Source organism: Homo sapiens, chromosome 12 (assembly GCF_000001405.40).
Source record: "Homo sapiens chromosome 12, GRCh38.p14 Primary Assembly".
In the NCBI taxonomy this organism is placed as follows: Eukaryota; Metazoa; Chordata; class Mammalia; order Primates; family Hominidae; genus Homo; species Homo sapiens.
The window spans coordinates 59,481,796-59,508,153 of NC_000012.12; the positions used below are offsets into that span (position 1 = coordinate 59,481,796).

At 35.0% G+C, this 26,358-nt stretch overlaps 3 annotated features.

Annotated features, from left to right (window-relative positions):
* Positions 18,105-18,214: an enhancer, noted in NCBI's record as "active region_6572". NCBI's record gives its function as "activates an Ori minimal core promoter by ATAC-STARR-seq in GM12878 lymphoblastoid cells {active_cell/tissue: GM12878}" and the evidence as "EXISTENCE:reporter gene assay evidence [ECO:0000049][PMID:35858748]".
* Positions 18,225-18,274: an enhancer, noted in NCBI's record as "active region_6573". NCBI's record gives its function as "activates an Ori minimal core promoter by ATAC-STARR-seq in GM12878 lymphoblastoid cells {active_cell/tissue: GM12878}" and the evidence as "EXISTENCE:reporter gene assay evidence [ECO:0000049][PMID:35858748]".
* Positions 19,885-20,054: an enhancer, noted in NCBI's record as "experimental_30646 CRE fragment used in MPRA reporter constructs". NCBI's record gives its function as "activates a minimal promoter by MPRAs in K562 erythroleukemia cells, with activity observed for the introgressed 12:59895546 variant allele {active_cell/tissue: K562}" and the evidence as "EXISTENCE:reporter gene assay evidence [ECO:0000049][PMID:34662402]".

Here is a 26,358-nt window from a genome sequence, read left to right on the forward strand (position 1 = left end):
TCATATCTATACAATGCATATTATTCTTACTTTTTAAAAATTAATATATATACAATGGAATACTATTCAGCCATAAAAACAATAAAATCCTGTCATTTTGGACAACATGGATGAACCTAGAGGACATTATGTTAAGTGAAAGAAGCCAAGCACAGTAAGACAAATACCACCTAGTCTCATTCATATATTGAATTTTTAAAAAGTTAGTCTTAAAGAAGTAGAGAGTAAAATAGTGGTTACAAGGGTGTGGGGAGAGTAGGAGGAAACAGAGGATAGGAAGAAGTTGGTTAATGGGTAAACAAAATAGAAGGAATAAATTCTGGTGTTCTATTAAATAGTAGAATTATTAGAGTTAACAATATTATATATTTCAAAATAGCCAGAAATTATGATTTTGAATCTTTTCACAAACAAATGAAAAGTGTTAGAGGTGATGCATATGCTAATTAACCTGATTAGATCATTACACAATGTGTTGATTTATTGAAATATTACTCTGTACCCCATGATATGTATAATTATATGACAATTAAAAAACAAAATCAAACTTTAAGAAAGAAAAAGAAAATATTATATATAACCAAGTTTTAAATTCAAGAATTATTGATATATTTATAATAGTAATAAGAATATTGATATTAAAAACTATTTTTCTGTCTATTCCTCCCTATTTACCTGTATTGTTACCCAGAGGCAACCACTTTCAAGCCTTTTAACTGTTTCTTCTGATACTAATATCCATTTATCTAAATAAAATATACTATTTCTTCTTAACCATTTTTTAAAATTATCTATTTTCTTTTTCTTAGGGTAGTGAAGAAGATATCTCTCTACTATACTTCCTCTAACTTCACCTTCCCCATTCTCTCAAGATATTTGTATCATTTGTTTTTGTTTTCTTTTGTTAAAAGCTATAGTCAGAATTTACATTATTAAGACAATGTGCAATCTGGTCACCTCTTGTATCTCACTTCTTGGAAGAAGCCAACATTGTTGCATCCTGAATCTGAGGGCAGTTTGGAGGCTGAAAAAAATATCTCAGTACTTTCTCTGAAGGCCATCAACTGATTGGATGAAGCCTATCTGCATGATGGTTGGTAATCTGCTTTATTCAAAGAATATTAATTGAAATATTAATCACATTTAGTAAAAAACCTTCACAATAGCATCTAGTCTGGTGTTTGACAAAAACAACTGAGCATTATAGCCCAGTCAAGGTGACACAGAAAACTATCCTTGAGAGTATGAGGAGAACCTCCTATTAAAGATTTCCGCTGTTTTTCAACCCAATACTTCAATGTATTTCCAAAGAATAAGATATTCTCTTACATAGCCACAAGAGTTATCAACATCAGTACATATCATATTGATGCAACACTTTCAGCCAACATGATATTCATATTCCAATTTTGACAATTGACAAATAATGTCATTTCTAAAATATTTATTTTTCCAGCTCCAGTTCCAGTCCAGAGTCATGTACTGCACTTAGTTGCCAGGCTTCTTTATAATTGATACAGTTACTCAGACTTTGTCTTTTATGACATGGACACATTTTAAGAACACAGCCACCCCCTTTTTTATTTTTGTAATAGAACACTCTTCATTTTTAATTTGATATTGCTTCATAATTAGACTACATAAGTCTAAGCTTTACTAAAAACATTTCTATCTGGAAAACTACAAAAATGATGGTGTGTCCTTCTCAAGGTTTCAAGTCTGGAGGCTACTTGGGTACCAATAATTTTGATCACTTGCTCAAGATATTATCAAATATCTTCCATTTATAGTTACTATTGTTTTCTGCAATTAATAAGCAGTCTGTTGGAAGACACTTTAAGATCAAAACATATCTCGCTCCTAATCAAATCCCTCTACCCAGATTTAGCATCCATTAATGTTTCTTGGAGGACCCAATTAAAACTATAATGGTTTTGAAATAGTTTTCAGACTCCAGCACTTCCTCCAAATTTTCCAGTCAACACTTCTTCCCAATTTATTTTAGTATTTATCTATTTAACATTAACATAAGTATAGAAATTTCTATTTCTTCAACGATTTATAACTAATTCTAGTCTTTCATTATTTTACTGCCCAGATTATCTTGGGCTTGGCCAGTTGAAGATTCTTTGGTCTCCTGTGTTCTTGTTATTTTCCCTTGTCATTTTTTTCTTGGCAGTTCTTTAATTTCTGACATAACAAAGTGTTCCCAGCTCATCTTGCTCTTATCTGGATGCAGCCTTGGGATCTAATTTTTCTGAGATGTCCTAGTTTCTTTTAGCAAGGAATGGTATTAGAAACCAAATTCTGGGCACTAGGTGTGTTCATTGTCATTTCTGTTTCTTTGGTTGTAATTTCTCTCAGTGGAGGCAGGTAGGAGCTATATGTATGTAATGCATATAACCAAATATAGCCACATAAATACATATATGCATAAACACATACATATATGTGCAAATATACATGCAGTTACACATGCATATATACATTTTTAAATAATACTTTCAATTACATTTATTGTCATGGATTTTCCCTTGTTTCCCCTGATTTCATATGTCTTCCTTTTTCTACTTTACATTTCCTAACAACATAAATTTCTTTATTCATATGCTCATATTCCTATTATGTATCTAAGACAGATTCTGAATTGCTTTACCTATACAATGACAAAAACAACCTAGCAAAAAAAGCTCAGGATTTGTTTTTAGTACCTTTGCACTCTGCCTAAAACTTGTTGAATACTGTGCTCATATATTATAATATCAGAATTATTATTTTATGAGAATATTATTCATTTGACATAGTTGGGTTTCTCATAGATTCCTTTTATTTTTATCCTTCTCCCAATTCTTATTGATTTAACATTTTAAAAATACATTCAATATTAACATTTCTCAAAACTCAAATGAGATAAAAACAGTAGATTTAGAAAAATGTCACTTCCTCTTACTTTACAGATGTCTTCCTGTTTGTGGGTTTCACATCCACAGTTCAAGCAACCATGGACTGAAAATATTCAAAGTCAAAAAACAATAAAAATAACTACAATAATAATAAACAAAACCAGAGTACAACATCTATTTACATATTATTTACATTGTATTAGGTATTATGAATAATCTAAAGATGATTTAAAGTGTATGAGATGTGTGTATGTTATATGCAAATACTATGCCATTTTATGTAAGGGACTACAGCATCTGCAGATTTCAGTATCCACAGGGGTACCTGTAAATTGGTCCTGAAACCAATCCCCTATAGGTACTGCAGAATGAATATTCTCATCTTTCTCCATTGGACCCCTTGTAATTGACCAACTTCATTGTCTTCTGGTTTCCTAAGTTTCTTCTATAGAGATAAGCAGATATGTATATTTCTTTATTTCTCCTTTTTTTTTTTACACCAAAGTAGCATACTATATATGCTATTTTGCACTTTGGTTTTTCTCCTTAATATTTTCTGTAAGTAACTTCGTATCAATTTATAAAGTGCTTCCTCAGTTTTTTTTCAACTGCATAATTATTCCATTGTGTTTAAGTACCATTATTTCTACAATAATCTCTTATGTTTGAACATTAGGGTATTTTCCAGTATTTTACAATTGCATACAATATTTTCTTTTTTAAAAAATTTTATTCCTTTTTGGTGTTTCTATGTGTGTTTTTGGCCCATTTTCTATAGGATTTTTCTGTTTTTATTTCTCAATTTTTTCAAAAGCTATTTTATAGTAAAGATATTAGCCCTTTATTTATTCCAATCACTTTTCTTTTGATTTTACTTATGATTTTCATTTGTTTTGAAGATCATGAAGATAGTTTAAAAACCAATTTTTGTAGTCAAATTAGAAAATCTTTTCCAACACCCAGTTTATTGAGGAACTCAGCTATGTTTTCTAGTACTTGCATAGTTTTGAGTTTTACATTTATAATAAAAGAAGGGTAGAATTGAAGGAGAAATTTCAAGTTCACTTTTGGCATATTGAGCTTCAAATGCCTAGGAGACCGTGATGGTTAATTTCATGTCAGCTTGATTGGACCACATAATGCCCAGATAGCTGGTTAAACACTATTTTTAGGTGTGTCTGTGAAAGTGTTCCTGGAAGAAATTAGCATTTGAATCAGTAGACTGGTAAAGTAGATTGCCCTCCCAGTGTGGATGGGCATTATCCATCCAATCCACTGAGGGCCTGAACAGAACAAAAAGGTAGAGGAAAGGAGAATTTGCTTTCTCTGCCTGAGTGGCCTGGGACATGAGTCTTCACCTGCCCTCAGACTGGCACTTATTCCATCAGTGCTTCTGGTTCTCAGGCCTTTGGACTTGGACTTGAACTACACCATCGGCTTTTCTGGGCCTTCTGCTCACACATGGCAGATCATGGGACCTCAGGTTCCGTAATCATATTGGCCAATACTTCATAATAAATGTCTCTCTTTGTCTTTCTCACTGTCTTCATTTCTCATTTCTTTCCTTCTTTCTCTCTCTCTCTCTCTATATATATATATGTGTATATATATGTGTATATATGTGTATATATGTGTGTATATATATATATATATGTATATATATATATATACACATGTGTATATATATACATATATGTGTGTGTGTGCATGTGTGTGTGTGTGTGGTTTGGCTCTGTGTCTCCACCTAAATCTCATCTTGTAGATCCCATAATTCCCACATGTTGTGGGAGTGACCCAGTTGGAGATAATTGAATCATGGGCAAGTCTGTTTTTCCCATGCTGTTCTCCTGACAGTGGTTGGGTCTCATGAGATCTGATGGTTTTAAAAAGAGGAGTTTCCCTGAACAAGCTCTCTTTTTGCCTGCCACCATCCATGTAAGATGTGACTTGCTCCTCCTTGCCTTCTGCCATGATTGTGAGGCCTCCCCAGCCACATTCAGTGAGTCCAGTGAGTCCAGTTAAATCCTTTTGTTTTGTAAATTGCCCAGTCTTGGGTATGTTTTTTTCAGCAGCGTGAAAATGGACTAATATATACATACACACACACACATATGTACACACACACACACATATATGCATGTATGTATTGGGTTCTCTTTCTCTGGAGAACTCTCACTAACACACAGATACACACCTTGAAATGCTCCAGCTGCAAGGTCTCCTTTGTGCTGCCTCAGGCTTTTACCCTTAGTGTTCCCTTCTCCTGGAAAGCCGTCCTTCTAGGTATTAGCATGGCTCACTTCTCCTCATTATTTGGCTTACTGCCCAAATGTCAGTGCATCAGACAGGATGTTCCTAATCATCTAATAAAAAAATAGCAGTTAGTCATTTTCTACCCCAAACCTTGCTTTTACCCTTGAGGGCTTAATGTTATCTAACATTCTAATACATAGCTGCATGCTTGCTATCTGTCTACAGACATAGAAATGTAATTCTGAGTCAATGATATGACCTTTTAAATATTTGACAACTCCAAATATTTCTCCTTATAAAAGTATTTTTCCTAATTTCTGCCTCCATCAACAGCGTATGAGAGTGGCTGTTTTTCCCACGTTTGTGCCAAAATGAAGTTTAGAGTGTTTTAATCTTTGTGACTCTGATGTGTTGAAAATGTAATTTCAGTTTCAATTATGAGTAAGATGTTTAAAATTCTATCCAACCATCTTTCAATAAATTGTTTATTCGTGTTCTTTCCCAATTTTTCTTATTGAATTTATAGTATTCACAATCTATGTTGTGACTATAATGCCACTCATGGACTACTACCTTGGCGTTAAAAAGTGGCTAAACCTTGCCTCTTAATTCCTCCTTACCTTTTTAATGCTCATGATTTTTTATACTTTTTATACTTTGTTGAGATTCTGTTGTAGTTCTCAATGTGAGGTCTACTGCTACTAGAAGTCCTAAATTTTATTATTATTATTATTATTATTGAGACAGAATCTCATTCTGTCACCCAGGCTGGAGTGCAGTGGCATGATCACTGCTCACTGCAACCTCTGCCTCCCAGATTCAAGCAATTCTCATGCCTCAGCCTCCCAAGCAGCTGAGATTACAGGCATGCACCACCACACATGAATAATTGTTTGTATTTTTAGTAGAGATGAGGGTTCACCATGTTGGCAGGCTGGTCTTGAACTCCTGGCCTCAAGTGATCCGTGTGTCTCAGCCTCCCAAAGTGCTGGGATTACACGCATGAGCCACCGCACCTGGCTAAATTTTATATGCTTGTAATTTGGTGTTCACTTTCAAACCTTTGATACTAATAGCAGTACCTAAATTCTGAACTTATTATTGCTTTATCTCTACTTTGGATAGATTTATTTAACACGTTTTTTTAAGAAATGCCATAAATTGTAATCCTCATATTCTTATATGGCTGGGTAGTTTTTCTATTGCTTTTACCTTTTAATTGCAATGTGGCTAAGTTGAAACTCTTTGTTTAGGTATTATTTTGTTGTTCTTGTTAGGATAAATGCTGTTGTGAAGATGTCCAAGTTTATCCTAACTTTTCATGGACTTCTTGGTAAATTTCCTTAAGTTAAAACAGCTTTATTAGACCTCAGTTCAGTGTTGATTTTTTCCAAGTAGATACTTATTTATTCAAGTTTATATTCAATTTATTGTTAATGTATTTAACAAATCTCTTCCAGGTGATTTCTTTTTATCAGTCATTGTTCTAGGCACTTAAAATATATAAGGGCAATATCTCTAATAGAAATTGCCATCTAGTTGATTGAGATAACTAGTTGGTATTTTCAGTCAATACACAACAGTCATCTTTTCTTTGCAAACCAAAGAACCAGTTGTTTTAAAGTTTACTTCTATTATATATGTTTGTATTTTCTCTACTGTTTAGTTTTCTTATTCAGAAACCATAATTAGATGCATTTTTAATTTGTTTTTTAGTCTAGACCTATAATTTCTTGCCAATTGTGTTTATATCTAAGTTCCATTTCTATTTTACTTTTCTTGATTTTTTTCAAGCCCGGTCTTCACATTTATGTCTATGTTTCTTAAGGATTTATTTTAATTTATAATGATAATGTGAAAATTTTTAACTTTGTTTTCTTTTCTTTTCCTTTTTTTCTGAGATTTACCAACTTCTTTATCACATCATTCAGTTAATATTATTGTTTTTTATTCAATCTCATGTATCTTTTCAATGAGGCTGATCAACGGCACTATGATCTTCAATTCCTGAGAGCTTTAAAACAAATGATTGGCTCAATGTTTCTGTTGCTTTTCTGTATAATTGTTTCTCTGGGTCTTTTGGATATTCCCTCTTTTTGTTTTTCAATTCCGCTATCTATGATCATTGCTTCCTGACTATTTTTACTTTTGCTAATGAAGAAGTTCTATCTAGTCCAAATAATTGTTTTAAAAAATGTATGGTGGAGGCTGGGGACGGTGGCTCATGCCTGTAATCCCAGCACTTTGGGAGGTCGAGGTGGATGGATCACGAGGTTAGGAGATCGAGACCATCTTGGCCAACATGGTGAAAACCCATCTCTACTAAAATACAAAAATTAGCCGGGCATGGTGGTGCATGCCTGTAATCCCAGCTACTTGGGAGGCTGAGGCAGGGGAATAGCTTGAATCTGGGAGGTGGAGGTTGCAGTGAGCTGGGATGGCACCACTGCACTCCAGCCTGAAGACAGAGCAAGACTTAGTCTCAAAAAAAAAAAAAAAAAATGGTGGAATGGCAAGGGCCAAGACAATGAATTTGGTTATGGGGTGCTTGAAGGCAGCTATATGGTTATAGAATTATATATGTACTTTCTTATGAAATTTGGTATATTTCTCATCTAAGTTATGTTGAGGAATAGAAATATAGAAAATGTTATTTTCTATATGGAAATTTAAATTTTATCTTCCTATAAATGACTTGCTTAGCAGCCACCATATTAACCGTCAGGAAATTTTCACCTCTAACATTCTACTCTTTTTGTCTTTTTATTGAAAAGGGGGTAAGTTCATATGCCTTCTCCTTCAGCCCAGTTACTCTGATGTGCTGTGGTATGAAATCAGGTGTAGAGATGTTCTTGTTGCTCAGGCATACCCTAGATCTTACTTTTCTAAGAAAGGCATTATTGGTTAGGCTCTTCCTAGCCTTACAACTATTTTGAGAGTACTTTGAACCCTGCATTAATTAAATCTGTAAAATGTTTTGCTTTTCCCTATTTTTACCTCCCAATTTGATACATTTTCTACTTTTTCTTTTTCAGCTAGTCTATGAGCTTGGGATATAGGGTTCTGACTGAAGTAAGGTTTAATCATAATAATGAAATCTCTTTCTTTATACTAACTTTCTGTGGATTTCAGTTCTGTTCTGGAAAAATGTAAAGATAATTTCCTATAGTCCTTTCTTCCTTTATCACAGGAGGTAATATTTTAAAACAAATTTGATTAATACATATTTTGGGTATAGTTACTACTCAAAGACGTTCAAAAAGAATGGTTCTCCAAGTGCTTAAATTCTAGTATTGGAGATGACATGTTTGCAAGTAGAAATAACAGCATTATAAGTTCATATAAAATGGGTTCCTTAAGAATGGAACAGATCACAGCTGGGCACAGTGGCTGATGCCTATAATCCCAGCACTTTGGGAGGCCAAGGCGGACTGATCACCTGAGGTCGGGAGTTGAAGACCAGCCTGACCAACATGGAGAAACCCTGTCTCTACTAAAAACTACAAAATTAGCCAGACGTGGGGGCACATGCCTGTAATCCCAGCTATTTGGAAGGCTGAGGCAGGAGAATCGCTTGAACCCGGGTGTTGGAGATTGCCATGAGCCGAGATTGTGCCATTGCACTTCAGCCTGGGCAACAAGAGCAAAACTCCGTTAAAAAAAAAAAAAAAAGAATGGTACAGATCACGATTACCAGATAAGTGGGAAGAGTTGATATTTTGACCAGCTGGACTGATTACAGAGCCTTTATGGAGGAGAGAATATTTGACCAGGATTGGGGGAAATGAGCAGAGTTATAATAGACAGAAGAAAATTATTCGAGTTAAAGAGAATTGTATTACTCCTTTTCTATACTGGGATGTGAAGAATCTTACCGGACACATTTTGAGTGTGACCCCTGAAAGATAACTGTCAGGTATGCATGATGCTTTTTAAGAGTGCACTTAACTTTCTTGCTTTGCTATGCTCAAAATAATAGCTGTGTTTCATGAGCTAGAATCCTAATTTAAAAGAAAACACTAATACAAATGATGCATACATAATAAAATTGTGATGTCTGAAATTTTGAGGAGCAAAATAAGCATGTGCAATGATTTATTTTTCCCCCAACAAAGTTTCACATGCAAAGCACATATCAAGATTTTTAGTTTGAGATACGTTGATATATGGCCACTTTATTTTTATCTTGGGTATTGTCAGCAATATCATTGCAAATGAAAAATACATGCTTTATTACTGTGGTAGACTGAATAATGTCCCTTCAACCATGTTCTTATTCTAATTCTTGGAACCCCAAAATGTGTTACCTTACATGGCAAAAGAGACTTTGTGATGGTGAGAGTAGCCTGGACTATCCAGGTGGAACCAATCTAATCATGAGTCCTTAGAAATGGAAGACCGTTCTTACTTTAAGTCATCAGGAGATGTGACTACAGTAGAGAACCAGAGGGACGAAAATGTGAAAAGGACAGAACCTGCAATAACTGGCTTTGAAGATGGAGGAAGGGGGCCACGAGCCAATGAATGCAGATAAGGTGGAAAAGACCAGGAAATGGGTTCTCCCCACAGAGTTCAGAAAGAAATGCAGTCCTACTAACACCTCAATTTTAGTCAGTTAGACCCATGTGAACTATAGAATTTGCGATAATGTTATGGTAGCAATAGAAAACTAATACAGCACCTTCTGTAACCTATCGCTTGACACTTCCATATTGGTCCTTCTTAGGATCCAATGGCCCTGAAAAGGCAAAGAAACATTCTCCATTGCCATGCTATAAGTCAATCTTCAAAGCTAAGTTACTTTTTTCAAGACAATAAAAAATGGCTTTACCAATCAGTATGCTTTCAGGTACAAGTAAGAGAAAATCCTGCTTCAAGCTGTCTTTAAGTAACAAAATTTATTACTTACATATTAATATGACAAATATTAATTGAGTACCTACCGTGCACCCAACCACTAATCCAGGCTTTGTAGATACAGCTGTGAACAACACAATGTCTTTGCTTCATAGAGTTTACATCCTAGTGGGGAGGGAGTCAATGTATAAATGAGATAAATGAGTGTAATACTATATTATGTAACAGGAAATCCACTGTAGAGTAATTGCTTGAGTTGGTTAATTGAGCTGTCAGCAATGTCTTCACTTCCCTTAATCTGCTCTGTGATCCTTTGTGCTGGCTTTGAATTCAGGCAATAGAAAGATGGATACGGAAGTTTCTGGTGCCTATTCTTCCAGAGGAAAAAGACAAAATATTTCTCTTTGTTGTTGTCATTTGAGAGAAAACTTTTTTCAGATCCCTCAGTTGACTTTTCATTACTTGAGAGATCTACAAGACTTAGTCACACTTCCATTCTAAACTAATTATTGGTGAGGAAAAAGAAGAAATTGTCATGATTAGCTCAGGAAAATAATTTGGGATGGAATATATGTCTGAGTTCACTACAATGGCTTGACAGTAACGTGAATAGTAAACATTTTAAATATAAAGTTTGTTTTAATTAAATGGCTTATTAAAAATATTTTCTGTATTTTCAAAGTCCCTAGAGAAGAAACAAAAAGGGTTCAGAGGGTTTCATTACTCTTTTATTCATGATAGGCAAAAATTAAATAGTTCTCTTTGAGAAGCTTATTTGTGTCTTATTTTATTACAGCCTTCCTGGAAAATTTTGTCTTCCAATTCCAATTAATTTGAAGCAATCTAGGCATAAATTTATTGTGAGCAGAAGTCATAGATTCAACTAATTATATCATATATTTCAAATATTAGAATTATGTGAAAAATACATTCATGTAAGGGAAGTCATTTAATTTCTAATGTGTAGACCAAAAGGCAAACTAATTAGATTCAGTCTGATAAACCTGAAATATAGCTGTTTTGTAGTATAAATGAGTAAGTTTTCTGTATTTCTTGCTGAGAGTATATCATTTTTTATAGTTGTTTATTAGAGTTCATACCAATTGAAATAGTTGAAACTTCACTTATTTTCCTTAAGTCCACTCTTCATAAATATTAGAGTTAGTTTCCATCAAATATATTCATTACTAAAAATAGTGAATATTTTTAGGTAATACTACATTGATTGCTTCTAAGTAATGCTACACTGCTGTTGATTTGGAAGAGAATCAAAGAAAATGTTAGTAGTGTTGTCTAAAAACAAAGTAATTAAATTCTCACTCTTTAAAAGTGGGTATCTAGCATAGATATTTAACATTGCTGGGATGTCGCATTTTTAGTTCTGGATTTTAAGTTCATAAAATATGCTGGTAGGCTGAGCTCTAAGTAACATACACATTTAAGATTTGAGAAAAGAAGTAAGGTTGCAGTCTATTTCTGTTTCACTTACTAATTATATGCCTTTCAAATGCTATGAGTGAGGGATAGAAATAGACAGCATTTGAGTTCTAAAGGATTACATGAACTATGTATTTCTTTTTAAAATCAGTGGACAAATTGAAAACCAAGATGAGAATTCCGTAAGATACAGTCTTCAATGCCAGTAACATTCAACTATCTTTGTTTTATCTTTGCCCCAAGAAAACAAGTATTTCCTGGCTATTGAGTGATGTATTCATTGGTGTTGGACTCAAATCTAAGAAATCTAAAAATGGAAAGTTCGAGCTACTGAGCAACATGTTGGTGATGGCCCGCATTTTCAGAGTTTGTTGGAGTAAAGGATACATGACTACCTCCCATAGAATAAAAGTGGGTCACTTGAGCAAGCACTGCAATCTCGGGCTACCTTGGGTCATGTCCATGAGAGGTCTGAGGAGACCCTGGCAGAAGGCAGAGGGGAGCAAGCTGCTGGGTGCCTCGGGGGTGAGCAGATATATACATGACCAATGAGAACAGACAATGCGATGCATTTCCAAGATCTGCAAAAGACAGATTTCCAGAATTCCACAGTCTCTAGAAAACTCCCGAATCCAATCCAAAATCAAGAAAAGGTGTTCGTTTTAAACCTCTGCCAGACTAAGAGCACTAACAGCTCACAACAATCTTGGTCAAATAGGAATATACCTGCCACTCACCTCTCCTGTGTCTCAGAGGAATTTGAGGGGCGAAATGGGGGCAAAATACACCATAGGCAGGAAAATAATGATAAAGGCTACTAGGCCTTTCTTTTCCATTGCAGTTAGTACCCCTGATATAGCTATGTGCAAAAAGTGGCCAGAAATCAAAGCATGAGTGATCAAATGTAAAAGTTATTTCCAGGAGAAGATAAAAGCCTCAAAGCTGAAATCTGGACATTAGTGGTAGGTAGCAAAATAGAAATGGAAGAAGACAACTTGTCAAAAATGCCTACTTTGTGCCAGTTTATATACATTATCTGATCTTTATGGTAATTGTAGGAAAAGGATGTTATAGTACCCACTTTATTATTGATAACATCAGGCCTCAGAGAGGTTAAGTTCCACTTCTGAGGTCAAACATCTAGTGATAGAGACAGGATTGAATCCAAATCTCTCCAACACTTTTTCTTTGCACCCCATAGAGGACCTGAGGCCACTTACTTAGCAAGTCTTGACGACCTTTTTTATTTTCTACATCTTCACCCAAGACCCTCCTGCTATCTACCCATTCTATAGAATCAGACTTCTACTTTTCCCTATTTTTAGATGTATTTGGAGAATGTAGTCTATCATCCTGGCTTTTTCCTTTTAGAACAAAAGAAAACAAAGCAATGCAGAAAAGGACATGAACACAGTGTAGGAAAAAAGAATGCCATGGAAAGTTAGCCCTCCCAGTATCTCTTTGACTTTTTATTCAGGTATCTTCTCCTTGATTCACTCTACTCCAGACACACTGACCCTTACTTGTGAGCCAGTCAAGCATGGTTCCACTGCAGAGTCTTTGCACTGAAAGCCTTCTCTTTCCCCAAATGATCTGCATAGCTAATTCTCTCATCTCTTGCCTTGAGGGAGGTGCTATCATCCTCATACCAACTGCTCTTTTAGCCCTTTACTGATCATCCTACTTAAAATTATAACTTGCTCCACACTCAGTTACTCTGATCCCTCTTGCTTTGCCCAATTTTTTTGTTTTATTTTTCCCATAACACTGATCACCTTCCCACACTTACTTATTCTTTACGTTTTTTTTACTTCCTGTTTCTTCCTATCACATGAATATAAGATCTTTCGGACTGTGGATCTGTCATTGTTTTACCTCAAGCATCTAAAAGAGTGCCTAGCACATGGTAGGTACGTGCCACAGATTTATTAAACAAATGAATGACTGAATACTGATTTTTACTCCCTACCATAGCTATCACATACTACTTTGACTTCCTGGCATCTTGCTTTTTGCATTGCTTGCTGGTCTTCCACTAATCATCTTGGAAGGGGGCATTCTTAAGTTTTATCCCATCATACAGTTCTGGGTTTCAGCTGCAGAGTCCTTGAGTTTGCCCACCCCAGCACTGACTGAGCTCCAGCCCTCATTGTAATAATGTTTGTCAAAGTCAAGTGACAAAAAAAATCTTAATTTTTTATACCACTTCTATTGTCAACAAACTTTAGGGATTTATTAATTATGGCCACTGCTTTTGATAAGACATATAAAATTCAATGAAAAAATACTGTTTTACCACAATGAATTTTGATATGTGAGTAAATTCTAGTATTTATTAGGTAAGCTGTTTTCCAAATTCTACATATTGATATTTGATTTCACTTTATAATATAGGCATAAACTAATGTTTGCATGTAATATATGGTAGCTGATTTTGCATAAAACTCAGAAATAAATGTGTGTCTGAGATTGAAATAAAAATAAATTTAACACTGTCTATGGATGTGAAATTCATAATCCGTGATCCTACAATGAAAGATTTGTAGAGAAAATTATCTATTCAAGTCCGTTCCCATGTGTATCCATTTAGTGAAACTTTACTTGCAAGAATCTGTAAAAATGCTAATAAACCACATTTCTCCCAGCTTAGGCCTAGCTCTTTATTTGTTTCTGGCTTTGAGATAACTTTGAATAGGCAATATGGTGTCACCATGGGTAATGAATGATGCATGTATAAAATAGTGACCTTAAAACAGCACATTTCTCTTAAAGGAATCAATTTACACACCATTGCTACTTAAATTTTATGAGCAGTTATGTATCAGGTCTTTCCTATATAAATGATAGAAAATCTATTTTAATCAACATTAATTTCCATGAAATTGTAACTTTGCTAGTGTCCATTAACAAGAATCAACTATATGTGGGAAATAGTTTTAAGAAAACAAAGATTAGGGAAAAATGCAGGAAAGATATAATAAAAAATGCACTTTGCTTCAAAGTTAAATGTTTTGGAAAAAATACAGAAAATCTCAGCAATGTGCCTGGGGCATAGTAATACTAGCAATCTCTAGCAGATTCTCCCAATGTAAGCACATTTAGAACAAATGGTTGTAAATTAGAAGAAACTCTAGTAAGTCTCCAATGAAGACATAGTATTATAGCACAGGTAATTAGCCATGATGCATATTTTTTAGTTCCCTCCCTTTAAATACTTTCTTTCTTCCAATTTTAATCTTACAGAATCACAATTTGATGAACTATTAATTTTTTGCTTACCCGTGTAATCCAGAAATTCCTAGTGAACAATGCTACAGGGGTAGATAAAATGTATACATTTAAATTTATACCCTGGATTTGCTATTGTTTGCAGATATCCTCCACTTTCTTACCAAAACAAAATAATGCCAGAAAGACTCTAGCCCTGAATGAACCTAACCATCTACTTTTTTTTATCTTTTGGATTCATATGGAATATTATGAAAGGGATCCAATCACAAAACCAGGTTAACTAGTATCACTATAAACATTGTCTCGCAAAAGTCAAATGAGTACTTACCACCACGTGAAAATTCCACTGTGTTTCTGTATTTTACTCTCTCATTATCCCTGGCCACTATTTTACTTATTCTTAACTCTCCTCTCATCTCCTTACCCACCACCATCGCTGCACCTTTCAGGTGATGCCTTACCTTATGCATCCTGTCAAAAGAAGAAATCAGACAGAAAGGGGCTCACTTTCCCTTGCTCTGTACTGAGGCTCTTGGTCAAATCCCAATTCATCACTTACTAGATATGGGACCTGTGCAAGTTGCTTATATTTTTGTGTCCCTCTATAAAATGCTGATAACAATACCAGCCTTAAAAGTTATTAGAAAGATTAATAAATTACATTAAAATATTATTAAAATAAAATTAATATACACAAAAACATATAACAGAAAAGGGATCAGCACATAACAAAAACAATGTGTAAGTTATCATCATCATTTATTATTCTTTTCCATTAGAACAGAAAAAGTGATCTTTTGTCAGAAATTCTCCACCTGTCCCCATCTTTTCCAAAAGTTTATGCTTCCTTTATTTATTTTTCCAGATCATCAACCTTCCCCACTTCACGTACCTTTCCCATTATTATATGAACAGGCTCTTCTATATTCTTTCTCTAAAAAGTAGTTTCCCTCAATTCCAAGTCTTCAATTTTTACCCTCATTCTCAACAAACTTTTTCTGACAAGATTTTGAACAGTAGAAAAGGCCTGAAAATTGTTCCTTGGGTTTGACCACGTGGAGAACACTCACAGCCCTTTCTGAAGCAGTCAAGACAGCCGACCATCCCATTCTTGAAACCTTCTCTTTTCTTGGCATCCATAACACTAAAACCACCTTTGCAAAAATTATAACGGTGAGAAAATTATGGCAGTAAATGACATCTAATCTAACCCTCCCGCCCCTGGCATCTTCTCTTCCCTTAATCGTTCTCGGGCTTAGGCTAACTTTGGAAAGCATTTAGTTTACAGTTTAAATGATTACAGCCCACATTTTCTTAATCCAGTCTATCATTGATGGGCATTTGGGTTCGTTTCAAGTCTTTGCTATTGTGAATAATGCCGCAATAAACATACGGGTGCATGTGTCTTTATAGCAGCATGATTTATAATCCTTTGGGTATATACCCAGTAATGGGATGGCTGGGTCAAATGGCATTTCTAGTTCTAGATCCTTGAGGAATCGCCACACTGTCTTCCACAAAGGTTGAACTACTTTACAGTACCACCAACAGTGTAAAAGTGTTCCTATTTCTCCACATCCTCTCCAGCACCTGTTGTTTCCTGACTTTTTAATGATCACCATTCTAACTGGTGTGAGATGGCATCTCATTGTGGTTTTGATTTGCATTTCTCTAATGGCCAGTGATGCAATGTTCATCAGGGATATTGGTCTAAAATTCTCTTTTTTTGTGTCTCTGCCAGGCTGTTGTATCAGGATGATGCTGGCCTCATAAAATGAGTTAGGGAGGATTCCCTCTTTTTCTATTGACTGGAATAATTTCAGAAGGAATGGTACCAGCTCCTCCTTGTACCTCTGGTAGAATTCAGCTGTGAATCCGTCTGGTCCTGGACTTTTTTCGGTTGGTAAGCTATTAATTATTGCCTCAATTTCAGAGCCTGTTATTGGTCTATTCAGGGATGCAACTTCTTCCTGGTTTAGTCTTGGGAGGGTGTATGTGTCCAAGAATGTATCCATTTCTTCTAGATTTTCTAGTTTATTTGCCTAGAGGTGTTTATAGTATTCTCTGATGGTAGTTGGTATTTCTGTGGGATCAGTGGTGATATCCCCTTTATCATTTTTTATTGCATCTATTTGATTCTTCTCTCTTTTCTTCTTTATTAGTCTTGCTAGTGGTCTATCAATTTTATTGATCTTTTCAAAAAAACCAGATCCTGGATTTATTGATTTTTTGAAGTGTTTTTTATGTCTCTATCTCCTTCAGTTCTACTCTAATCTTAGTTATTTCTTGCCTTCTGCTAGCTTTTGAATGTGTTTGCTCTGGCTTCTGTAGTTCTTTTAATTGTGATGTTAGGGTGTCAACTTTAGATATTTCCTGCTTTCTCATGTGGGCATTTAGTGCTATAAATTTCCCTCTACACACTGCTTTAAATGTCTCCCAGAGATTCTGGTATGTTGTGTCTTTGTTCTCATTGGTTTCAAAGAACATCTTTATTTCTGCCTTCATTTTGTTATGTACCCAGTAGTCATTCATGGAATACTATGCAGCCATAAAAAATGATGAGTTCATGTCCTTTGTAGGGACATGGATGAAGCTGGAAACCATCATTCTCAGCAAACTATTGCAAGGACAAAAAACCAAACACCGCATGTTCTCACTCATAGGTGGGAATTGAACAATGAGAACACATGGACACAGGAAGGGGAACATCACACACTGGGGCCTGTCGTGGGGTGGGGGGATGGGGGAGGGATAGCATTAGGATATATACCTAATGTAAATGACGAGTTAATGGGTGCAGCACACCAACATGGCACATGTATACATATGTAACAAACCTGCACATTGTGCACATGTACCCTAGAACTTAAAGTATAATAAAAATAAAAAACTAAAAAAAAAAAAAGCAAGGAGCAAGAAAAAAAAATGATTACAGGCCTTCCCCAAAACTCAACTGCCTTTGTAAAGCTAACAAAAGGCCAGCAGGCTAGGGGGAAGAGAGGAATCTGAATTCTGCTAAAGTGCAGTCATAAAAGATTGCCAGCCATTCCTACAAATAAAATCAGTATTCTAGAACTTAATATTGGCCTTTTCAGATAACTTTTCAGGTTTTTTTGCATGTCTGAAATCCATGGCTCCACCTGGACCCACCAACTCCACTCCTATGGCCCCCCCAGAAGCAACTCAGCTCAAGAGGACAGCTTTGACCTCCTATGATTTCATCTCCACCACAACCAATCATCAGCAGGCATCCATTTCTAGCCATCCCCCCTTCCCCTAAACTGCCTTTGAAAGTCCCCTAACCTATAGGCTTTAGAGAAGATCGACTTGAGTACTAACTCCATCTCCCACATGGTGTGGCCAGCCTCAAGTCAGTTTAAGTCTTTCTTTACTGTAATGCCATGGTCTTTAATTGTGCAGTGGGCAGAAAGCACCTGTTGGGCAGTTACAACACCATCAGTCTGCTGATTTTCTTTCTGTGTCTCTGGCTTCTAGTTCTCAGTTTCATTTTCTTTCTCATTTCTTGCTTTCATTGTTTCTCATTCTACACTTTCTCCTTAGGAGAGAACTTTTATTGCCATGGATACCATCTTTGTGCTCAAAGAGCCCACACACATACACACATATATATTTCCATCCAAGTTCTTCCTTCTGAATTTGAACCTGCTCCTCTATAGCATTCCTTTTCTCAGCATATGACCCTCTATTCTCTCTTCACCCAGTTGCTAAAGACAGAAAATTGAAATCATTTTCGTTATGGCTTTGTCCTGATGCCTCCCCTCTCCGCATCACCCAATATGAAGCTCAGACTATTCTGAATCCAAATTTATTTGTTAAATTGTCCTTCATTTCTACATTTTTGTTGCTACTTTTAATTAGCTCTAACCATCTTTCTCATTTGGACTACTCCACAATGAAGCTTCTGTAGCTATACAATGATCTTTTAAAATGCAAATTGGACTCTGTCTTTGTCTTTCATCTCTGTTTTAACATAGAAGAATTACTAAGAGTCTTTCATTTTAACATCAAAGGCCTCAGAAATCTGGTCAGCTGAATCCAGTATCATGTGGTATCACTCCGTCACTTGTTTTCTAAGCTGGCCACATTGGTCTTCTTTCAATTCTTAATAGTACCAAGCATTTTTGTGCCTCAAAGACTTTTCACATGTTAGTACCTTCACCTGGAATGCTTTTATTTCCACCCTTTACTTTGCTAATCTTACTTATACTTCACATCTTAGCTCAAATATCACTTCTCTACATAGGCTGTCTTTGAGTCTCAGATCTAAATTAGATTTCTCTTGTTATTTTTGCTCTTATAGCACTTATCACAAATTATAGTGTAGATCAATTTATCTCTTTGTCTCTTAAACTAGTCTGTGAACTCCATGAGAGCTGACACCAGGTGCGCTTTGTTCAATCTCAGACTTCACCCTTTGTAGCCATTTACTATATCAATAAATGAATAATAAATATGTCAATAACTAAATAAATGAGTGTTTGCCAGTAAGTTACCTAAGCTGTCTGACTCCCATCTATGAAGTTGATACAAGAATTTCTTTCTTACCAGGTTGTTCTATTAACTGATAGAGCAAATACTTCTACCCAGCATAAATTCACCACAAAAATTTGCTTCCTCTGCCCCACCCTTCACCCTATCCACGCCAGCAGCCTGGTAGAGCAGAAAAAGCTTTACAGTTTGATGTAACTGAATTTAGTTTTTTACTTTCTAGTTATTTCCTGTGTAACCCTAGTCAAGTTGCTTAACATCTTTGAGCCTGTTCTCTCATCTATAAAACTGATATAATAATATCTACCCTCATAGGATTGTGGCTAGGATTAAATAAAGTAACATGTATAAAGCACCCAGCATGTGCACATTCCATAGATGTGACTTCTCAGTCTCTGAATACCCAAGGTACCATATATAGCATAATTTTTCAATATTTTTATCCAAAATCACATATGTTTTTCACAGGTTTAAGCTAAAATATTGTTTTAGAAGGCAAATAAACCTGAGAAGCGTGTCAAATTGCTATCTTCTAAAGGCACATGAAGCACCTGGGGAGCTTAATCAAAATGCAAATTCTAGGCCCCCACTCACTGACATCTGATTCACTAGATCTGGAGTGAGCCCAGGAATTTGCATTTTGATAAAGCCCACAAAGTGAATCAGGTGTTCCATTAACTTCACCTTGAAGACCAGTATTTTCATGTATCCAAGTTTGAGACATGGTGATATTTTCAACTCCAAACTCCAAAAGTTTGCATGAGCCACAGTTGATAAATGAGCCTATGTTTAGTCGAAGGGCACATTTATTTCCTTAAGAGTTGTGGATTTATTCATGCTGCTTTATGAAATAAACTTAATGTTGAACTTAGGAGATATAAGAGCAACTGCTTTCACAAAGGCACTGTTTATCAGACTATAAAATAAATTGTACATGAATCTTAACTCTCAAAGCTGTGCAAATTGTCTTATGTCTAGCAAGGAACTCTACCAGTGAGAATAACAGGCATTATAGATGTACATATGCTTCGGAAATAATGCATTTTCTAGGAAAAAAACCTGCTGTTACTCATTAGCCTGACAGGTAGGCTTGCATTTTATAAAGGACATACTTTAGAAGAATCATTACTATACAGTAGTAGTAATGAGATAGAAAAATATTAGGGGTAAAACAATGAAAGAGTGATGTAAACAGGGTTTTTTGTGAATTTAAAAAGAAAAATTAAGAAAGTTACAAAGAACTCTTTATAATAATCAGTGTCAAAATACACTACCTTATTTTTTCTCATAAAATGATTGATAGTAAACATTTTAGATCTCAATGGCTTCTATGTAAAAGCCATTTAGTTGTCTTTTTTTAAAACCAAAAGTGAAAAAGAAAATTGAGTACCAAGTTACTAAGACACTCAAGGCATAAAAGTCTATAAAGACTATACAGAATATCACCAGGCGCCATATGCACGCAACAAGCATCCCAGAGTTGCTTCAGCTTTTTAATAACTATATGATTGATTTTTGTATACTCCATAAAATATTTTTTAAAAACTCATTAAAATGCATAAATGCATAATACTTACATTGATAAATATAAATTTACTTGCTAAGACATGAAAGATGAAATTTATATCCTCCGTCTTGCTATGTTGGTGCATTTTCCTCCAAATTTGTGTAAATACTGTTCTGAGTTTTGCATTTGTAACTGAGATGACTCAAAAACACATTGTCCTTAGTTCTTGAAATGTCACAATAAATATTTAAACTTTGAGAAGTTATCTTAGAGTCCTGCTTCTTGCTGTTGAAACTAGGGTAAATTTTCTTTTATCTAAATTGAAGAAATTGAAAAGTAGAGCTGAAAAGAATCTCAGTCGTTGAAGTGTCTGCTCCTTTCCACAAAGTCTGGCTTCAGAAATGTATCTGTTTTTTAGGACCCCATTTAATCATTCCCGTCTACGAAATTAATCCAGTCCAAAGTATCTCTGACAATATTTTGAACCTTACAAATGCCAACGCGTTGTCCTAAATAACCTAAATCACCCTGCCTCCCTCACATACCATATTAAATTGATCATTGAATCTCAAAATCTCAAAAACATCTCAGTAGCTCATTCTCCCCTTCTCACTGGTGTGACTTTGGCAACAACCCCTTCCATCAGTCTGAAATATTGCAAGAGTCTCTTACAGGATCCCTAGGTTTGGGGTCTCTCATATTGTCTCCTCTGTTCTCCACATTCCAAAGTTGTGTTTAACTTCTATTAAAATATAAAAATTGTCATAAAATACAGAATTATGATCCAACCCCTGCTTCTTCCATCTCCTAATGTGTTCACATACACCAACCTATTTTGTCATCTCGCAGAGCTTCCTGTCTCACAAAAAAACAAGATGTTTTGTTTGTTTTAATTTTTTATGAATGACTTTACACATTATATTTATCTTCCTGGAATGCTTTTATTTACATTTTCTTTATCAGCTGCTCCCGACTCCTTGGGAGGTTACAAGTAATATTTCAAGGCAAATTAGTCACATGCCTTCCAAGAGAAGTCAAGGGGCACTGTTCAATTAGGCTTATAAACCAGTTATATCTATACATGTATGACATTATATTAGACTTTACCTATTTCTTGCCCAAAAGACCTTAAATTCTCCAAAGATAGAGCAATATTTGATTCATCTTTCGATCTTCATAACCTATCTAGGCAGTAGCTCATGGTATTAATAATAATATCAATAATAATAATAATAAACACTTCTATAATATTGTGTGAGGCACTGTTTTACTTAATTTGCAAACTTAGATATGTACAATCCTATGATGTAAATAATTTTATTAGCCAGTTTTGTAGAGGGTAAAATAAGGTACAGTGTGGTTAAATAACTTTTTCAATGTCACATACCTAGTAAGTTAAAAACACTAGAGTCTGAATCTAGTAAGTTAAAACATTAGAGCTTAGTCTGGCTTCAGAACTCATATTCTTGTCTTCTTGCTAACTAAAATATGCTAACTTGCTCAATAAAAAAATGAAACTTAAAAAAAATTCATCTCACTCTCTGTTACTCTGGCTATGGGAAAATCTGACTCTAGGTTTCTCAAAGTGAACCTCAAAGATAGATCTTGGTTAATAAAAGTTGCAAAATATTTGAAGTTACTAGTGAAGATCTAAAAATGGATACTTCTTTGAATATATGACAGAACATGTCAGTGTGCAGATGATGTTGGTAAAATTTTAGGTAATGGAGTTCTAAATATGAATGAATAATGCATAGTATCATGAAATAAAATAATTTAAAACAACAGAAGAATTTCATCTATGAAATGTAAACAGAGGAAAAACTGCGTGTTTGAATGTATTGTGGTGATGAAGGGAAAGGATGCTTGACAGAAGGATCACACATTCACTTAACATAAGCAACACACAGGTGTCATTCTCATTCAAGATCCTGCATCATCTCTACAACTAAGCTTTAAATACTTACTTCAGATGCCTCCAGAAAAGTCAACGCAGAAGAAACTAACACTGTTGTTCAAGTAATTTACCTCATAATGTGCAAAACAAATAAACACTAGTATACACGTATTAATTCTGCAGCTGGTTAGGGCATAAAGGGTCATAACCCATCCTTGTTCCCCCAGAAATCACTAAAAAATAATAAACTAAAAATTATATATGGACATACACACATTTGTGTATATAGATTGGTAGGTTATAGTTGGATGGATGGAGAGAGAGAGAGAAGAGAGGAAAGAAAAAGAAAGAAAGAAGAAAGAAAGAAAGAAAGAAGAAAGAGAAAGAGAAAGAAAAAGGAAGAAAGGAAGGAAAGAGAAAGAAAGAAAGAAAGAAAGAAAGAAAGAAAGAAAGAAAGAAAGAAAGAAAGAAAAGAAAGAAAGAATCTTGACACAATGAGGTCTAAAGGAGCTAAATTTCAAATGGGAATAAGGTTTTCCTATATAAATAGAGACCTGTGACCATCAGGGTCACAGAGGTAAATCAGTCAATAGAAGAAGACACATAAAGAAGTGTGAATTAACACTTTATGAATTAACATAACAGAATTAACATAACAGAAGTTAGAATTAAAAAAACTTTAAAGTTAACATAAATATGTGAAACCAATTATTTGAAAAGCTGAAGAAAATGAATGGAAAGAAGGATAACATAAACCATGTATGGAATTTTAACAAAAAATAAACATACAACTAAAGCAATATTTAAGAATTTATTGGAGCACTTTAGAGCTCCATAAAAATGGGCAAAAACCATTGTGAAAATTGATTTTATAACTTGGGTCATTCTCGTCATACCAAACTAAATCAGATTTGAGGGGCCAGGGGAAAAAACACTTAGGGGACATAGATAGCACCTGCTGCAAGAATTAAATTTTCCATAAGCCCAGCTGCTAAAACTGCTTATTATAAGCTGAAGCCAGTTTCATCTAATAGCTACTAAAGCATTTGGGTATAACTCTAAGACTAGTTTTACCCACTTTTGTCACTCAGCAATCAGAGCCTGTCAGCTCCCCAAAACATTGCTAGCGTCAATGAACTTTTTTCAAAGCAATACATAACATTCCTCTTTTTTAGAAAACCTCCAACCTTCTCTTCATTTTTCAGATATAACAAAGACCACCTAGTCTTGTATGTATGCCCTGAAATGAATCTTTGCTGCACAAATACAACTTTCAAATTTTAAAATTTGTCTTTATACATTGTTTGACTTTGACAACCTGTCCAAGCTCAATGGGTCATTAATATGTAAATAGATGCTCAAAATCATTATTCAGCAGAAATTGAAAATTAAAACCCTAATGAGTTACAAGACTGAAAATAGCAAATATGGTTGAGATTGTGGAGCAAGTTAGGCTTTCATACAATGCCATAGATGTGAAAAACAGTATTATCTCCTTGGAAAACCCTTTTGCACTTTCTAATAAAATTAAGAATTACTCTTCTAGATATATATCCAAAAGAAATGAGTGCTTATTTTTACAAAAAGGCTTCTATAATAATATCCATAGTAGTTTAATTTAATAACAATATAACAATTATAACAGATAAAATCTGTTAACACCCCAAATACTCAACAGGAGGAAGGATAAATAAATCATGGTATAATCACAAAATAAAATATTTAGCAGAAGGGAGAATAAAAAGAATGAGCTTGTGATATACTCAACAAAATGAATAAACATCATAAACAGTATATTGAGCAAAAGAAAGTAGACATAATTGGACATACTGTTCAACTGAAATAAGGTTTAGGAATGGACAAATTAATCCATGGCACAAGAAGAATAGTGGTTACAGAGAGGGTTATATTGTCAGTCCAGGTGGATAAGGCAACTTTCTAGCCAAGGGATGAAAACGTTTTTTATTTATATCTGTTTGGGTTGCACGTGGTTTGCATGCATATATAAATTATTAAACAAGTCTCTTTAAAATGTGTGGTTTTGCTTCATAGAGTGTACACCCGAATTCAAAATAGTTTTTTTTTTTTTTTTTTTTTTGAGACGTAGTTTTGCTCTTGTTGCCCAGGCTGGAGTGCAATGGCGCAATCCTGGCTCACCGCAACCTCTGCCTCCCGGGTTCAAGCAAATCTCCTGCTTCAGCCTCCCCAGCAGCTAGGACTACAGGCACCCACCACCACGCCTGGCTAATTTTTTTCTTTCTTTTTTTTTTTTTTTAGAAGAGACAGTGTTTCACCATGTTGGCCAGGCTGATCTCTAGCTCCTGACCTCAGGTGATCCACCCACCTTGGCCTCCCAAAGTGCTGGGATTACAGGAGTGAGCCACAGCGCCTGGCCCAAAATAGCTTTTTAAAAGTCATACTTAATTTTTAAAAAATAATCTTGTGTACTTCTGATGAAGGAAATGTCTGTCAAAACTAGTTGATTGAAATCTTCTTTATTAAAAAATTTAATATGCATAATTTAAATGAATACATCTATGCACCCAAGTTTACTTGGTTGTTATTATTGTTGTTTTTAAGATAGGGGTCTTGTTCTGTTGCCCAGGCTGGAGTGCAGTGTCACAATCACATCTCACTGCCCACTCCAACTCCCAGGCTCAAGCAATCATCCTGCTGCAGCCTCTCAAGTAGCTGGATCCGCAGGTACATGCCACCACACCTGGCTAATTTCTGTGTGTGTGTGTGTGTGTATGTCTGTGTGTGTGTGTGTGTGTGTGTGTGTGTGTGTGTGTGTGTGTGTGTGTAGAGATGAGGTCTCACTAAGTTGCCCGAACTGATCTTCAACTCCTAAGCTCAATTGATATTCCTGTCTCGGCCTCCTAAACTGTTGAGATTACAAGCATGAGACAACGCGCCTGGCTTTGATACTAACTTTAAATCTAATATCTTATATTCTCTTGGGAGGTTTTAGTGCTTTTATTTTCAGGCATTCAAAATACTTTTCTTCATTTATTAATTTATCCACTGAATGATTATTTATTGGGTTCTATTATGTGGCAGAAGCTGTTATGTAAACAAGATGAATTTTTCCCTTCATGGAGTTTATATTTTAGTAAATAGACTTTAGAAAAATCAGTCACAAATAAACTAATATGAAACAAGCAACACATAAACTAATAGAAAAATTAAATAACATAGCGTTATTTTCCCTAAGTTAGGAAGAAAGATGTTATATAAATGTATTCTAGAGATACACTTTAAATAGGATTATTTGTAGAAAAAGAAGGTTTTTGTATAAGTGTAAATGCTGAGAAGGGGTCAGACTAGGGGAAGAAAAAAAGAATAATTCAGTATAAGAGAAAGCAGGAGCAAAGAGTCTGAAACAGTAAAGAAAGTAAAGAAAGAAGGCTGGTAACGCTATTTAATAATAGTGACCATGGGTGAGAGTGGGAGGAGGAGTGGGGCAGAAATGACATTTGAAGGAGTAACTGAGTATTGAATACATAGTTTTGCAAATCACTATTTTTTTGATGTATAGAATATTATTACAGACATCCCTCATTTTACTTTGCTTCATTTTATTGCACTTTGCACATTGTTTTTTCACAACTTGGTTTGTGGCAACCCTGCAACAAGCAAGACTATTGGCACCATTTTTCCAACAGTATGTCCTCACCTCAAGTCTCTGTATTAGCCTTTTTCGATAATAAAATATTTTTAATTAAGGTATGTACTTTTTTGACACAATGCTACTGCACACTTAA